General features: G+C 47.9%; 1 protein-coding gene across 3 annotated transcripts; it reads right to left on the minus strand.

Annotated features, from left to right (window-relative positions):
* Nucleotides 1-539: 539 nt before the first annotated feature.
* MSANTD5 (Myb/SANT DNA binding domain containing 5) lies at nucleotides 540-16,478 on the minus strand. Of its 3 annotated transcripts, XR_007058568.1 has the most exons (7): nucleotides 15,945-16,478; nucleotides 6,592-6,701; nucleotides 5,103-5,187; nucleotides 4,293-4,604; nucleotides 3,826-3,953; nucleotides 1,517-1,599; nucleotides 540-1,076 (listed from the first exon to the last, which is right to left on the minus strand). XR_007058568.1 is itself a non-coding variant. In XM_017010138.1 (5 exons), exons 2-5 carry the CDS (start codon nucleotides 6,595-6,597, stop codon nucleotides 3,715-3,717), a joined length of 642 nt encoding a protein of 213 aa, XP_016865627.1. In that variant the 5' UTR covers nucleotides 6,598-6,701; nucleotides 15,945-16,478; the 3' UTR covers nucleotides 3,578-3,714. The 3 variants fall into 3 exon arrangements, 2 of the variants coding, with proteins under 2 accessions (XP_016865627.1, NP_001382365.1); XM_017010138.1 differs by lacking the exons at nucleotides 540-1,076; nucleotides 1,517-1,599 and having other exon boundaries at nucleotides 3,578-3,953; NM_001395436.2 differs by lacking the exons at nucleotides 540-1,076; nucleotides 1,517-1,599; nucleotides 15,945-16,478 and having other exon boundaries at nucleotides 3,578-3,953; nucleotides 6,592-6,767.
* Nucleotides 16,479-16,809: the final 331 nt, after the last annotated feature.

Below are 16,809 nucleotides of genomic sequence, written 5' to 3' on the forward strand. Positions count from 1 at the left end.
GACATTCACAGGCACATACACACAAAATGAACCTTAACCTAAACTTCACAAACCTTAATCACAATTTAACTCAAATGTACCAGGGACTTAAATGCAAAATGTAAAACTATAAAACTTTAAGAAAAATATAGGAAAAAGTCAGCCGGGCACAGTGGCTCAAGCCTGTAATCCCAGCACTTTGGGAGGCCGAGGCAGGTGGATCACGAGGTCAGGAGGTCAAGACCATCCAGGCTAACACGGCGAAACCCCGTCTCTACTAAAAATACAAAAAATTAGCCAGGCGTGGTGGCGGGCGCCTGTAGTCCCAGCTACTCGGGAGGCTGAGGCAGGAGAATGGCGTGAACCCAGGAGGCGGAGCTTGCAGTGAGCCAAGATCATGCCACTGCACCACTCCAGCCTGGGAGACAGAGCAAGACTCCATCTCAAAAAAAAAAAAAAAAAAGAAAGAAAAGAAAAAGAAAAAGAAAAATATAGGAAAAAGTCTTCAGGATCTAGGACTAACCAAAGGGTTCTTAGATTTGACACCCAAAGCACTACCCATTAAAATGTTGGTAAATTGTACCTCACAAAGTCTTTTCTCTGTGAAAGCCCATAAGAAGGGCATGAAAAGACAAGCTACAAACAGGGAGAAAGTATCTGCAACACCCATATCCCATAAAACGAATATCTAGAATATATTTTAAAAAACTCTCAAATAATAACAGTAAAAACAAAAATCCAATTAGAAAATGGCCAAAACCATGAAGAGCCATGTCACTGCAGAGGATATGCAGATGGCAAATAGGCATACAACATGCTCCGTATCATCAGCCGCCAGGGAACTGAAAATGGAAGCCATAAGTAGATATCACCGCTTTGTCATGCTGTGCAGAGGGGCCCTGGGCAGAGGCCAGTCCCATCATTCTAAGCTCTGCTAAGGCCCTCTGCGATGGACACTCTGAAGGCCATTCTATTCGCCTTTTAATGAATAGTGACAAAACAAAATGCTGGTGAGGATATGGAGAAACTGGTTCACTCATACATTGCTGGTGGGGATGTAGAATGACACGGCCATCTGGTAAAGAGTTTGGCAGTTTCTAAAAAAAAAAAAAAAAAAAAAATTAGGCCAGGCGCTGTGGCTCATGCCTGTAATCCCAGCACTTTGGGAGGCCGAGGTGGGTGGACCACCTGAGCTCAAGAGTTCGAGACAAGCCTGGCCAATATGGTGAAACCCTCTCTCTACTAAAAATACAAAAATTAGCTAGGCATGGTGGCAGGCGCCTGTAATCCCAGCTATTGGGGAGGCTGAGGCAGGAGAGTTGCTTGAAACCCAGGGACAGAGGTTGCAGTGAGCTGAGATTGCACCGCTGCACTCTAGCCTGGATGACAGAGCAAGACTCCATCTCAAAAAAAAAAAAAAAAAATTAAACATGCAATTATTATACACCCAGAAATTGTACCCCTGGGTATTTATCCCAAAGGAAGTCTTGTGTTTACACAAAACCTGTATCTGGAGGATTATAACAGCTTTACTCACAATAGTCCAAACTGGAAACATCCCGGATGTCATCCACTGGGCGAAGGGTTCAACAGCTTCTTCTACATCCACCCAGTGGAACACTACATGGCAAGAAAAAGGAATTAACAATTGATCCATGCAACAACCTGGAGGAATCTCTAATGAGTAACTGAAAAAAGCTATTCCCAAAAGGCTACATACCGTACAATTCCATTTATATAACATTGTTGAAATAACAAACTTATAAAAAGGAAGTGTATTTCAGCGGTTGCCAGGAGTTAAGGAGGGGCTGAGGGCGGGAGGGACGTGCATGTCCCTCATAAAGGGCAGTGAGAGGGTTTCTTCTGGTGACTCTCTTGACTGTATCGATGTCAATATCCTGGTTATGATACTGTGTTTTCTGAGCTGTTACAGCTGGGGGGACCCGGACATAGGGCCTAAGGGATCTCTCTAGAGTCCCTCTGTACTACTTGTTACAACAGCATGTAGAACTATAATTATCTCAAAATAATGTTTCCTTAAAAAATAAGACCACGGGCTGGGTTCGTAGCTCACGTCGGTAATCCCAGCACTTTGGGAGGCTGAGGCGGGCGGATCACCTGAGGTCGGGAGTTTGAGACCAGCCTGACCAACATAGAGAAACCCCGTCTCTACTAAAAAATACAAAAAAATTAACCAGACATGGTGGCGCACGCCTGTAATCCCAGCTACTTGAGAGGCTGAGGCAGGAGAATTGCTTGAACCCAGGTGGCGGAGGTTATGGTGAGCCAAGATTGTGCCACCATACTCCAAGCTGGGACAATAGTGAGACTCCGTCTCAAAAAAATATAATAATGTGTCCGGAATTTATTCTTTCTGGTGGGTTCTTGGTCTCACTGACTTCAAGAATGAAGCCATGTACCTTCGCGGTGAGTGTCACAGCTCTTAAAGATAGTGTGGCCGGAGTCTGTTCCTTCAGATATGTCCGGAGTTTCTGCCTTCCAGTGGGTTCTTGGTCTCACTGACTTCAACAATGAAGCCACGTACCTTCACCGCGGGTGTTATAGCTCTTAAAGGTGGTGCAGACCCAAAGGGTGAGCAGCAGCAAGAATTTATTGTGAAGAGCAAAGAAAGAACAAACCTCCCACAGCACGAAAGAGGACCTGAGCACCTTGCATCTGCTGGCGCTGGTGGCCAGCTTTTATTCCCTTATTTGCCCCTGCCCATGTCCTGCTGATTGGTCTATTTTACAGAGTGCTGATTGGTCCATTTTTATAGAATGCTGATTGGTGCATTTACAATCCTCTAGCTAGACACAGAGTGCTGATTGGTGCATTTACAATCCTCTAGCTAGTCAGAAAAGTTCTCCAAGTCCCCACCCGACCCAGAAGCCCAGCTGGATTCACCTCTCAATGAGACCACCCACAAATGTGGAAAAATGAACTTAACACACAGTGATTATGCCACCTGTGTTTTTATCCAAAAACTATCTCCTGAAGTAAGATATCAGCTTTAATTTTAATACGAGGATCTGGAGGCTCAGAAACATGAAATAAAAGTTCTGGCTGGGCGCAGTGGCTCACGCCTGTAATCCCAGCACTTTGGGAGGCCAAGGCGAGTGGATCACCTGAGGTCAGGAGTTCAAGACCAGCCTGTCCAAGATGGTGAAACTCCATTTCTACTAAAAATACAAAAATTAGCTGGGCATGGTGGCGGGCGCCTGTAATCCCAGCTATTCAGGAGGCTGAGGCAGAGAATTGCTTGAATCCAGGAGGCAGAGGTTGCAGTGAGCCGAGATCATGCCACTGCACTCCAGCCTGGGCAACCAAGTGAGACTCCATCTCAAAAAAAAAAAAAAAAAAAAAAAGATTCTATGATCACACAGCCAGGAAATGAAGGCAGGATTGAGCAGTTACCTCTGGGGTAAAAGTTATCCCTTACTACAAAGGAGCTTCCATGCAGGAAGCATGATGCAGGAATGAAAGGACGGGTCCAAGATCACTGGGGGGCTGAGCTCCCTCCCTGTCCCATGGTCTTTCTACAATTAAAGGTTCAACCCAAGCCACAAGCACAAGCCAGAAAGGGATGAGGTCACGGTCATTCATTTATTTCACATTTATTCTCATTGCACCAGGTGAGGAGAGGAAGGAGTCATTCACTAACACACACAGATTGTGCTGTTTTTCAGTCTTTCTGATGAATCAGGATCCAGATTCTAAATGTCTTCAAGACCTGGATCAGTCAGTAGAGATGGCCCACTGTGTCAGGGGGCCTGGGGCTGCCGGAGGCAAAGCAGGATACATATATGGAACATGACCATTCATGTTCCAGGGCTCCCATCCGGGTACCTGAGGATTTTCCACATAGATCACAGGTGTTGGGGCCCACATCGGCTCCTGAAAGACTATGGGAACGCCATAGGCCTGGGGCGGGTGCTCGGGAGGTGCGAGGTTAACCACATCTGCACAGGGAGGACCTGAGAGAGAGAAGACACATGGAGGGCTCATGAAGCCATCACCCACCCTGTACCTGAATCCTTGCTTGTGACCTCACCCAGCCCCAGGGCCATGTCCATTCTGAACAAGTCCACGAACAAAGTCCTCAGAATTATTACTTTGGGGAAGAATAAAAAGGAAAAATAGAGGCAGGCAGCCCATCAGAGCAGCAAGTCCCCTGTGCTGTGTGTCGAGGGACTCTGGGCAGGGGCCTGTCCCATCATTCTTTGCTCTACTCAGGGCACAAGGATGGTGGGGGTGGGGTGGGGGAAGACAATGGCACTCACTAGACCATGGAGATGAACACAAAAGACACAAACCTGAGAAGACGCTGATCTTCCATCTGTACCCCAGAATCCTGTGCAGGGCCTCACCATAAGGACATGGCAAGGGTTGGCACCTTGGCCTCTGGTTGGCCTCCTGAATAGTGAAGTATAAGTCCTGCAAGCTTATTAGCATCTGGAGACATTCCTTCCAGCTCTTGTTGATACCCCTCTGCTTGAGACGCTGAGCAATTGCTTTTGATACTATGTGATACTTCTTCTTCACCCTGTACACCTCACGTTCAAGAAATTCCCATTCTTGCAGGAAACTCCGGATTTCCTGGTCACTCCAAGGTTTAACTGACTGGACTGGAAGGAAAGAGGAATATGGATGTACTTGGCATAACTCACCTGCACATGTGCAGGATCCTGCCTCTACATGGACAGGTCCAAACTTGACTTTATTCAGTTATGGGAGATAATAGGACCTTAAATGAGAAGTGAGAGATTCAGCATCTGCCTGAGTCCTGACGCCTGACACATCCAGTCACTGGGACAGGCAAGGAAACATCTGAGAGCCTGGGTCTTGCTCAAGTTCCTTAAAATGTTTCAGAGGCTACTGACAGGGTGTGATGGCATATTTGCTGCCTGAGAGTGCTCCCCTGATGTGGGACTCACATCCCATCCCTGTGGGGCCTTTTACTGTCACCTGAGCTGTGGGCAGGGAGCTTAGGGGATGCTGAGGGCAGCCCTGGAATCCCCTGAGATGCCCCCTCTTGGGGCTTGGATGAGCGTATCAGACTCGAGAAGATGGAGGTGGGCTGGAAAATTTTCTCTACTACATGTAAGACTCTGAGGACACTGTACCTGAGGGCTTTTCTGATCCCTGGGCTGTGTTTTCCTGCTCCATTTTCTGGATGTTTATGGTAGTTTCAGTGGGAAGTATTACTATCTAATAAAAAAAAAAGATAAATACATATTAGAATCTCTCTCTCTCTCTCTCTTTTTTTTTGAGACAGAGTCTTGCTCTGTCGCCAGGCTGGAGTGCAGTGGCACGATCTCAGCTCACTGCAACTTCTGCCTCCTGGGTTCAAGTGATTCTCCTGCTTCAGCCTCCCAAGTAGCTGGGATTACAGGCACGCACCACCACACCTGGCTAATATTTGGTGTTTTTTTAGTAGAGACGTTGTTTCACCTCGTTAGTCAGGCTGGTCTCAAACCCCTGACCTCAAGTGATCCGCCTGTCTTGGACTCCCAAAGTGCTGGGATTACAGGCGTGAGCCACTGCGACCAGCCCCCCTTGTATTTAAAAAGTAAACTGCCAGATGAACGATATGAACCCAGTGGTTTTAGACACTGGACAAGGGCGCGTGGGACAGTGGAGTGAAGGCAGGAAACAAGGGTTGGGGCTCCTGCAAGTACCCAGCTCAAACCCGCACGGAATTTCCAGGCTGGGAGCAGGGAGAGGGAAATCAAGCAGAGCGTGTGTTCTCCTGAGTTGAGAACTTGGGGAGAGTCTGCTGGACCTCACAGTGGCAAGTACAGGACACAGAAGCAGTACTGGGGAGAGGGTGGAGAGAGGGAAGCAGAGAGAGCTCTGTGGATCTACTGGGAAGTCCCCTGTCCAAGCAGATCAGAGCATGAATGAGAGGAAACTGCCTGGGCTGGGAAAACACCGCGAGAAAGGAGCAGGCTGGAAAGTTCCTGGGGTCACTCTGGGCGGTGAAGAATCTGAGTCTCCGCAGCTGGAGTAAAAAGTCTGCCTAGTCCAAGGGGCTTTGAAGAGAGTGCTAGGAGAGTAGCGCCTCAGCAGTGGGGTCAAATTACCCACAGACTGAAGTTTCTTCCCATACCAACTAACAAAGATTCAAAACGATCCCCCAAAGCATCAATCTAATTCCAAAGGCTGCCTGTGGCTGAACATACAGAGGAAGCGGGTGCCTTAGAGGATAAGGTGGCTCACGCCTGTAATCCCAGCACTTTGGGAGGCCGAGGCGGGCGGATCACGAGGTCAGGAGATCGAGACCATCCTGGCTAACACGGTGAAACCCCGTCTCTACTAAAAATACAAAAAATTAGCCGGGCGTGGTGGCGGGCGCCTGTAGTCCCAGCTACTCGGGAGGCTGAGGCAGGAGAATGGCCTGAACCCGGGAGGCGGAGGTTGCAGTGAGCCGGGATCGCGCCCCTGCACTCCAGCCTGGGCGACAGAGCGAGACTCCGTCTCAAAAATATAAATAAATAAAAATAAAAAGGAACAGCACACATTTCAATGGCTGCAAAAATTCTTGTGAAATGAAATGAAAGCCAACCCCAGCCATCCTCCCACGAAACAGCAAGCGGGCGCCCTTCAACTTGCCTCCATTTTTACTCCTGAGTTTTCTCCCGGGAGTCTTCTCACTGTGCCTGCAGGGTCTGGTCAGTTCCTGAGTTGGCGGAACACTGGCACTTACTCTCCTCTAGTGGAACCTAGGAGAGTCAGGAGGAACCCGAGTGTGGAAATGTGCTTGCTTCTGTCGGCTTCTGGAGGTCTCTGAAGCCAATGCAGATCGGACATGTTTAAATATCTTAAATGTGATTGGGTCAGACCCACCCAACCTGGAGACTTTGGATTAACTAAAGATAAACTAATTTAGTACTTTAATCACATCCACAAAATCCCTTCATCCAGACTAGAATTTGATTGAATAACTGCAACAGGGAAATTGGAGATCAACTCGGCAGGGGTTCTAAGGGTCTCTGAGACCAGCATCTCCAGATGCAAAGGGATGGGTTGTTACATTCCTATAGATAAATTACCCCTTCCCCCTGAGTTCGTGCTGAATGGTCAGCTTTGTCCTTAGGGTTTGACCTCTGAGGATTAATTGCGATGTAAGGATTAGGGGAAGAGACTAGGCTTCAGCTGGTTGAGGGTGAATGGATGGCATGGATGGCAGTTATGGATGTGGGACCCTCTATGAGAAGCTCAGATTAAAAAGGAGTTTAGGGTAGGGAAGAGAGAGGCGAACAGAGCTTTCGCTTTACAAGAGGACAGACTTGAGATTTACATATACAGAAATGAGGAAGCAGAGGGATATTGGAGGGTGGTTAATAGTTTGGGCAAGTAAGTGACGGTGGGGACGGAGAAGGAGTGTGCTGAGTGCCCAGCATGTGAGGGAAGCAACTCCTAGGTTGCTTTTTGGCTTCAGAATCTCAGATGCAGTCCAGGATTAGGGATGCCCTCAGAACAAATCTTAACTCTTGGGCTTGATTCCACTCTACTCAGCACAATCCTAAGATTCACAGCTTTTAGCTCATGATAGCGTCTGAGAAGACAGGGAAGGGGGCTTTACAGTGAATGGTACTTTATTTCTACCCATTTTTTATTTTTAGAGGTAGGGTCTTGCTCTGCTGCCCAGGCTGGGGTGCAGTGGCGTGATCATGGCTCACTGCAGCCTCAAACTCCTGGGCTGAAGTGATCCTACTGCCTCAGCCTCGCAGGTAGCTAGGATTACTGCAGGTGCTTGTGCCACCATGCTTGGCCTTTTTTTTTTTTTTTTTTTTTTGTAGAGACAGGGTCTCACTACGTTGCTCAGGCTGGTTGTGAACTCTTCATTTCAAGCAATCCTCCTGCCTCGGCCTCCCAAAGTGCTGAGACTGCAGGTGTGAGCCACCATGCTGGGCCTAGTGGTACCTTAAGTCAGAACAAACTCCATGTGGCTTAAGACTAATCTTTGCTTCTTTCCATGTCATCTAAAAATACCACCATCTCTTCATTTCCACAGACAGATTTCAGGCCTCCATTTCCTGATGCCCATATGGTCAGGAAACTCTTCTCTGTGCTTCCCACTTTGGGCCTGTCCAATACACCCCCACTCTGCCTCAGGGACCATCTGAGACAAAAATCTGACCAAGTTATTCCTTCCTCTCCCCCAAATGTTAATGAACACCGTCTTCTTCCCCAGGCTCGAGCCCTCTGTCTTGCTGGAGGCAAATAGAAACTTTAGGCACCTCAGCCCTGCATCTAGCAGGAGCCTGCACTCAGCGTGTTCACCCCCAGCATCACCTCCCATTCAACTCATCTTCAGGGTTTCTGCCCTGCTATAAATGGCAACTGTATCCAGGCTGTTTCAAAAACAGAAATGCAGAAATAATTCCTGAATTCTTTATCTTCTCAGTGACAGCTTCTTCTCAATCAGAAATTACTGATAGCCTATTTTCTTTCCTTCTTTTTTTTTTTCTGATAGAGTCTCACTCTCTCACCCAAGCTGGAGTACAGTGATGCAACCTCTGCCTCCTGGCTTCAAGCAATTCTCCTGCCTCAGCCTCCCAAGTAGCTGGGATGACAGGCGCGTGCCACCACACCTGGCTTATTTTCATATTTCTAGTAGAGAAGGGTTTCACCATGTTGGCTAGGCTGGTCTTGAACTCCCGGCCTCAGGTGATCCACCCACCTTGGCCTCCCAAAATGCTGGGATTACAGGCTTGAGCCACCACAACCAGCCTGATACCTTATTTTCTAAATAAGTACCATTAACTGACTTTTTATTCATGCTGAAATTAAAATAGTGCAGGCATCAAGGTTACTTCCATGGACAACAGCTGTTGCATTCTAATGGGGACCCTGCTTATCTTGTCCTCGGTATATGCACCAAGCCTGTTTCTGTGGCTTCTAATGGGGACCCTGCTTATCTTGTCCTCGGTATATGCACCAAGCCTGTTTCTGTGGCTTTCCAGCACAGACATTCTTCATTCCATGGCTCTGGGGCAGCTTCAGATCAAGCTGATTTTCTCTGTTTGTCCGGGCTCCAGGCTTCTCCCATTTCCTGAACACACTGGGCACTGTGTGGCCTCGGGGCCTTTGCTGCTTCTGCTCGTTGCTCTGCTCCCATCACCAGTCACCCATCAGGCCCGCTCCTCCTGCAGGCCCCCGTCGCCCTGGGCATGGGGGCCGTCTCCATCCCTGGCACTCCTCACAGGTGCTGCCTCGCCATGCTCTCCTCAACTTGGACACAGTACATTTCAACACAACTCCCTGGTCAAGTCTAGCTCTTCCACTGGCCTATGCGTTCAGTGAAATTGTGGATCTTGTCTACAGGTGAATCCCGTGATAGGACAGCTTCCCAGTCCTGACTCTACAATGGAATCAGCTGGAAGGCTTTCTCAAAGGCCAATTCCAATCATTCAAATTTAGTTATCCTGGGCTGGTCACTGTGGAGAAAAGTCCTCTGGTTATTCTAACGCTAGTCTGGCATGAGCTCTTTGCCTTAAAGGAGTATCACGGGCTTTGCCATGAACTACACTGAGTCCAGGGGCCACCTTGGTCCTGCCCCACCTCACTGGGCCCCTGGGAGGTGGGAGATTAGATTAGATTAGAACTGCCAGGCTTCAGGCTAGCACTCCCGAGAGAGTGTGACCATCCTGAGAGTCCCTTCTCAGAGATTCCAGTGTGACCATCCAGGTTGATCCCGAGCACGAGGAGCTCAGAGGGTCCCAGGTGGGTCTGATGCATAATCCGGGCTGAGAGGCTGAGCTTGGAGAGGCTGAGCCTGGAGAGGCTCGGAAGGCCAGGGACCTTTTTATTTCTGACAACAGACGTAAGTGCCACGGAATCTCTGGGGCCTAGGGCAGGAGATTGGGACCTGATTTAGGAAAGACTTCTTGAGCTTTGAGATTAGACAGGAGAGTATGACTTTAAAAGAAATGGTTTTCACACATTTTCAGGGCTGCTTGTCTTTTCAAGGGTGAGGAAACATGGGTGTTCAGTTTTTTGTTTGTTTGTTTTTGAGACGGAGTCTCGCTCTGTCGCCCAGGCTGGAGTGCAGTGGCGCGATCTCGGCTCACTGCAAGCTCTGCCTCCCAGGTTCACGCCATTCTCCTGCCTCAGCCTCCCAAGTAGCTGGGACTACAGGCGCCCGCCACCACGCCCGGCTAATTTTTTTTGTATTTTTTTAGTAGAGACGGGGTTTCACTGTGTTAGCCAGGATGGTCTCCAACTCTTGACCTCGTGATCTGCCCTCCTCGGCCTCCCAAAGTGCTGGGATTACATGCGTGAGCCACGATGCCCAGCTGGGTGTTCAGTTTTAAATATTTGGGAAAATCATCTAATCTAGGGGATACTGTTTCAGTGTTTCAGTGTAAAAAATTAATATATGATTAATTTTGGCTGGATTTTTGGAAACTAGTAGGGCAACAAGGTCGAATACTGGGGGAAAGTGACTGAAAGTAATGAGGTGTGCCCTATGTGAAGGAAGGTCCGCACAGGTCACACACTGGACAGGTTTCCCTGGATTAATTTAAAATATATATATTTTTAATTAGTCAGGTATGGTGGTGCATGCAGGTAATCCCGGCTACGTGGGAGGCTGAGGTAGGAGAATCTCTTGAACCTGGGAGGCGGAGGTTGCAGTGAGACAAGATTGCGCCACTGCACTCCAGCCTGGGTGACAAGAGTGAAACTCCATCTCAAAAATATATATATATTTAAATATATAAATATATCTATATATTATATATTTATAAATATATATTTATTATTTTAAAAATATATATTTTTTGAGATGGAGTTTTGCTCTTTTTGTCCAGGCTGGAGTTCAATGGTGTGTTCTTGGCCTACTGGAACCTCTGCCTCCCGGGTTCAACCTCAGCCTCCCGAGTAGCTGGGATTACAAACATGCACCACCATGCCCGGCTAATTTTGTATTTTTAGTAGAAACGGGGTTTCTCCATGTTGGTCAGGCTGGTCTCAAACTTCCGACCTCAGGTGATCCACCCGCCTCGGCCTCCCAAAGTCCTGGGATTACAGGCGTGAGCCACCGCGCCCGGCCGAATATTTTTTAAAATAATAAAAATTGCAAAGAACTTCCCTGGATTAACTAAAAAAAAAAAAAATAAAAAAAGAAATGGGACAGGGTGAGCCAGTGGTAGTTTCTGATGTACCAAGGAAGTATTTTATTTGCAAATCGAAATGGAGTCTTTTCAGGTTCCCTAGTGACAAAGGGAAATCGATCTAAGAGCAATGAAGTATTATGCAACAAGGGAGTTTGAAAGAAATGCTGGCAGAGAATACGTGGCAATTTTTCTTTCTTTTTTTTTCTTTTTTTTTTTTTTTTTGACATGGAGTCTCTCTCTGTCGCCCAGGCTGGAGTGCAGTGGCACTGTCTTGGCTCACTGCAACCTCCGCCTCCTGGGTTCAGGCGATTCTTCGGCCTCAGCCTCCCAAATAACTGGGACTACAGGCACCCGCCACCACGCCCAGCTAATTTTTGTATTTTTAGTAGAGACGGGCTTTCACCATATTGGCCAGGCTGGTCTCGACCTCCTGACCTCATGATCCGCCTGCCTCGCCCTCCCAAAGGGCTGGGAATACAGGTGTGAGCCACCGCACCCAGCCAATTTTTCTTTTTTTTCAAGACAGAGTCTCTCTCTGTTGCTCAGACTGGAGTGCAGTGGTACCATCTCAGCTCACTGCAACCTCTGCCTCTTGGGTTCAAGCAATTCTTCTGCCTCAGCCTCCCGAGTAGCTGGGATTACAGGTGCTTGCGACCACGCCCGGCTAATTTTTGTATTTTTTAGTAGAGATGGGGTTTCACCATGTTGGCCAGGCTGGTCTCGAACTCCTGACCTCGTGATCTGTCCGCCTCGGCCTCCCAAAGTGCTGGGATTACAGATGTGAGCCACTGTGCCTGGCCCATGTCAATTTTCCCCTAAATGGTGTGAAGAGGATCTGAAGTAGTAGGTGAGAGACAGGCCAGAGAAGAGAGCAGTCACGGAGACAAACACACAGGGCGATTCCACTGTGCAGACAGAGCCCAGCCTTTCCCATGCCAAAGACACACGAGAGAGCACCCGAGAGAACAGATTCCATGAAGACATCATGTTCCTCTCTGGCTCTCAGCCTTGAGGGAGAGGCCATGTGCACTCAGAACAGGAGAGGCCAGGCCAGGTCCTCAGGGCTGCTGCTTTGTCCACCTGTTGCTGAGGAGCAGCAGGAGTGAGGCGTGGGCACGCTCCCATGGCAAGCCCTGTGCACAGGTGTGCGGAGGGCGCCCACGGGCAGGGTCCCGTGTCAGGGTGCTTGGGCTTGGCCTGCTCCACAGTGTGATGCGCTTGGCTTGCATGAGTCACTCCCTTCATAAGTGTGAGCTGGAACACAGGAGAGAAAATCCTGAGGAGACTTGGTCCTCCATTCTAGCCCAGGATTCTTTCTAGGGCCCCTCTCTAGGGCAAAGCCTGCGACTTTCAAGCCTAATGGTCCAGTATATGCCTATAAAGGGAGTGAATTTCATCATGGCTTGGAGCTGCTTCTATTTTCAACATTATGAGAGAAGAGAGGTTGATTAATGGGTACAAATATACAGTTCGATAAAGAAATAAGACCTAGTGTTTGATAGATCAGTAGGGTGACTACAGTTTACAATAATCTATTGTATATTTCAAAATAGCTATGAGAGAGTAATTTGACAGTCTTGACCATAAAGAAAAGACAAATATTTGGCTGGGTGCAGTGGCTCACACCTGTAATTCCAGCACTTTGGGAGGCTGAGGCAGGTGGATCATGAGGTCAGGAGATCGAGACCATTCTGGCCAACATGGTGAAACCCCGTCTCTACTAAAAATACAAAAATTAGCTGGGCATGGTGGCGCGTGCCCATAGTCCCAGCTACTCAGGAGGCTGAGGCAGGAGAATTGCTTGAACCCAGGAGGCAGACGTTGCAGTGAGCCGAGATCACGCCACTGCACTCCAGCCTGGGGGACAGAGCAAGACTCCGTCTCAAAAAAAAAAAAAAAAAGAAATGACAAATATTTAAGGTGATTGATATCCCAATTATACTGATCTAATTTTTACCAAATATATGAATGTAGTAAATTATCACTTATATACCCCAAAAAATTTTTAAAAGAAAATCACCAGTTATTTCAATACCAATCCCAAATAATTCACACAGCCACAGTTTTGCAATTCAAGGGGATCTGGAAGGAATGAAGTCATTGGACAAAAGTAATTGAGAATTAAGTGTGTCACATCTGAATGCTTGCGTACCCCCAAAATTCATGTGTTGAAACCCCATGGCCTAATGTGATGGTGTGAGGGGATGAGGCCCCCGGGAGATGATTAAGACTAGCTGAGTCATGAGGGTGGAGCCCTCCTGCATAGGATTAGGATCCTTACAGGAGTCCAAAGAGAGCTTGATTCCCCCTTCACCACCTGAAGAAGGAGCTAGAAGGCACCTTCTATAAGCCAGAAAGTGGGCCCTCACCAGACACCAAATCTACCACAGCCTCCTCTTGGACTTCCCAACCTCCGCAATGTGAGAAATACATTTCTGTTTTTATAACATAGCCAGTTTGTGGAATTACACTGTAGTAGCCCAAATGGACTAAAACAAATGGGTATGTAGTGATATCAGGGTTCCTGGGCAGAAATAGTTGTCAACAGAAGAGATTTGGGGAGCAAGTCAGAAATTGCGGATGTCTACAGGAATGTCAGAAGTGTCCCCTGAGCTACGGATGAGAACCGGAAGAGTTGCTTTTGCAGATAAGGAGTCACTGTTTTAGTGACAAAAGAATATAGTATTTTAGGGATAGCAATAAAGTGTCAGGAAACAGAAGTTGAGAGCAGAGAGAGAACTTCCACACTCTTAACCCAGCCGTGGAAGGAGAGGCAGGCACAGGGGATGAGACTGGAGAGTGGAGACAGAGGGGCCACAGGCACTTTTCCAGGCAGTGACCATCGCTGTGCCGGACGGGAGCACAAGGCCTGGGGGCAGAAGCCAGCCCCAATGTCAAGGAAGAGGCCATGACTTGCAGTGGGTGCTGGGTATCAAGACCTTGGTTTTCTTCTTTTCTTTTTTTTTTTTTGAGACGGAATCTTGCTCTGTCACCCAGGCTGGAGTGCAGTGGCACAATCTTGGCTCACTACAGCCTCTGCCTCCCAAGTTCAAGCAATTCTCCTTCCTCAGCATCCCCAGTAGCTGGATTACAGGCATGCGCAAGCAATCCTGGCTACTTTCTGTATTTTTAGTAGAGATGGGGTTTTGCCATGTTGGCCAGGATGGTCTCGATCTCCTGACCTCGTGATCTGCCCGCCTCGGTCTCCCAAAGTGATGGGATTACAGGCATGAGCCACCACGCCCGGCCTAAGACCTTGCTTCTCAATGAGAGTCTGAGACTGAGTCTCAGCACTTTCACTTGCTCTGTGAGCTCAGGCACATCCTCTGCTCTCTCTGGGTCCCCGTGTCTTCCCCTGCAAAAAAGGAGAACTTATATCTCACCCTCCAAGATGTACTCCCTGATGATTAGCTTAAGGATTTGGGACTTTGATGGCATCAGCCAAATCCCTTCAGGGCAGCGCCTAATCCAGGGTTTGATTGGATACCTGGGTGAGGGTGTGACTGCCTTCAACTTGCACAAGGATTTGGAAGGATTCTGGGCCCCGTATCCCCAACTGCAAAATAGGAGGTTGTCTTGGCTGGGCATGGTGGCTCACGTCTGTAATCCCCACCACTTTGGGAGGCCGAGGCGGGAGGATCACGAGGTCAGGAGATCCAGACCATCCTGGCTAACACAGTGAAACCCCATCTCTACTAAAAATACAAAAACTTAGCTGGGCGTGGTGGTGGGCGCCTGTAGTCCCAGCTACTCAGGAGGCTGAGGCAGGGGAAAGGCGTGAACCCGGGAGGCAGAGCTTGCAGTGAGCCGAGATCACACCACTGCACTCCAGCCTGAGTGACAGAGTGAGACTCTGTCTCAAAACAAAACAAAAAAAGAGGTTGTCTTATTTTGCACGAATGAACATCCATTATTTCTGAATTCTTTTCGACCTCACTGAGTTTCCAGTGAAAGAGGAAGTGCTGAAATCCCAACCTTGGTGTAACTGTAGAGTTAGCTGCATTTTGTGAAATGCTTTTTCCGCCTGAAGATAAACACATTCCCCCCTACCCATTCTATTAAATGTGGTGTGGTTGATTTTCATATGTTGAACCAACATTGGACTTCTGGGATAAATCCCAGAAGTTCATGATGTGTAATCATTTTCATTAGCTCCTTTATTTATATTAATTTTGGTAGAAATTGCCTAGCCATAGGTGCCAGGGGCTTCAAATTCCTCTAGTATCCTTGCTTTCATCTCCACTTGTAACTGAATTTCCCCAAATGGTCCTCCTCGGGGACAGTCTGTGGCTCTGTCTGCTATAACCCAGCGCTGTTGCACTGCGGCTCTGCTGGGATGGTGGCAGAGGGGGTGCATTCTATAATCTTCCAGTTAAATCTGTCAGTACTCGTGTGTCCAAGGGCTGGGACCTACTCAAGTGTTCTCCAGTGGTATAACTTTGCCTCCTTGCCCTGCCCTCCCTCTCCTGCTTGCAGGATTCCAATCTACTGGAATCCTCAAAGTGTTGAGCCATGTTGACAGTTTCCTCTCCCTTAGGTGAGACAGGAAGGATAGAGAGAATGGGGAATGTCCTTCCTCCAGCTAGCATAAGACTCTGGCAAGCTTTTTTTCCCTAGAGTGTCGGCTTTTATGGAGAAGACTCTGGGTGTATTTCACAATGATTCCCCTTCTTCTGCCACAGCCCTCAGGGGATATTTCTCAGATCATGACCTTGGGAATCTGCTGGGATTCCTGGAGCTAATGGCAGTGGCGGTATGCGGGACCCGTTATGACTATGGACCCAGAAGTTCCACATTCTCAGTTTAGTCCATATTCAACCTCCAGCAATTCATCAAAATTACCTGTTAGTTTTCCGACCAGTTTTGGCTCCAGTGGGCTCCAAGTAAACAGATCTCAGCTGTGTCTCTGGATACACCCGTCTCTCCAGATTTCACAGTTGTGACTTCAGTTCTCAGAAAGATAAAAGTCACTGCTTTTCAGCTTGACTAGCTTTTTCTTATAAGGATAGGGGTGACTACTTCCAAGCCGTTTGCATGTTGTAGTTGAAACTGGGGGTTCCAACAAATTTCTGAGTGCTAGAGAATGAAAGAGAGAATTGAAGAATGAAGAATAGAAGAATATCGAATGACAACAGAATCACAAAAGTCCTTTAACTGCTCAGTTTAAACAGTTTAAATGCCGAGGAAGGGAACAATTTCATGATGACTTCAGTGTCAATAGGATGGCTATCAGAGGTTGTCTGTGTAGCATCATGCAGAAACGCAGAATATGGATAGGACACCTTCTACAGCCTACTTCAGGCTTTGCTTTAATTTTGAATAACAATTGTTTGCACTTCTGGCGGGGCGCGGTGGCTCACTCCTGTAATCCCAGCACTTTGGGAGGCTGAGGCGGGTGGATCATGAGGTCAGGAGTTCGAGACCAGTCTGGCCAACATGGTGAAACCCCATCTCCACTAAAAATACAAAAAAAAAAAAAAAAAAAAAAAAAAAATTAGCCGGGCATGGTGGCAGGTGCCTGTAATCCCAGCTACTTGGGTGGCTGAGGCATGAAAATCGCTTGAACCCGGGAGGCGGAGGTTGCAGTGAGCCGAGATCTTACCATTACACTCCAGGCCAGGCGACAATGCGAGACCCCGTCTCAAAAAAAAAAAAAAAAATTGTTTGCACTTCTACACATCTACATAAATTTGTATTTGTATTATAT

The sequence above is a fragment of the Homo sapiens genome, chromosome 5, assembly GCF_000001405.40.
Source record: "Homo sapiens chromosome 5, GRCh38.p14 Primary Assembly".
In the NCBI taxonomy this organism is placed as follows: domain Eukaryota; kingdom Metazoa; phylum Chordata; class Mammalia; order Primates; family Hominidae; genus Homo; species Homo sapiens.

Coding starts and splice junctions, on each gene's coding strand:
- MSANTD5 (XM_017010138.1), bottom strand. Junction 4,605..5,102: donor GGGATCAGAAAAGCCCTCAG/GTACAGTGTCCT, acceptor CTTTCCTTCCAG/TCCAGTCAGTTAAACCTTGG. Junction 3,954..4,292: donor GAAGATCAGCGTCTTCTCAG/GTTTGTGTCTTT, acceptor TCTCTCTCTCAG/GTCCTCCCTGTGCAGATGTG.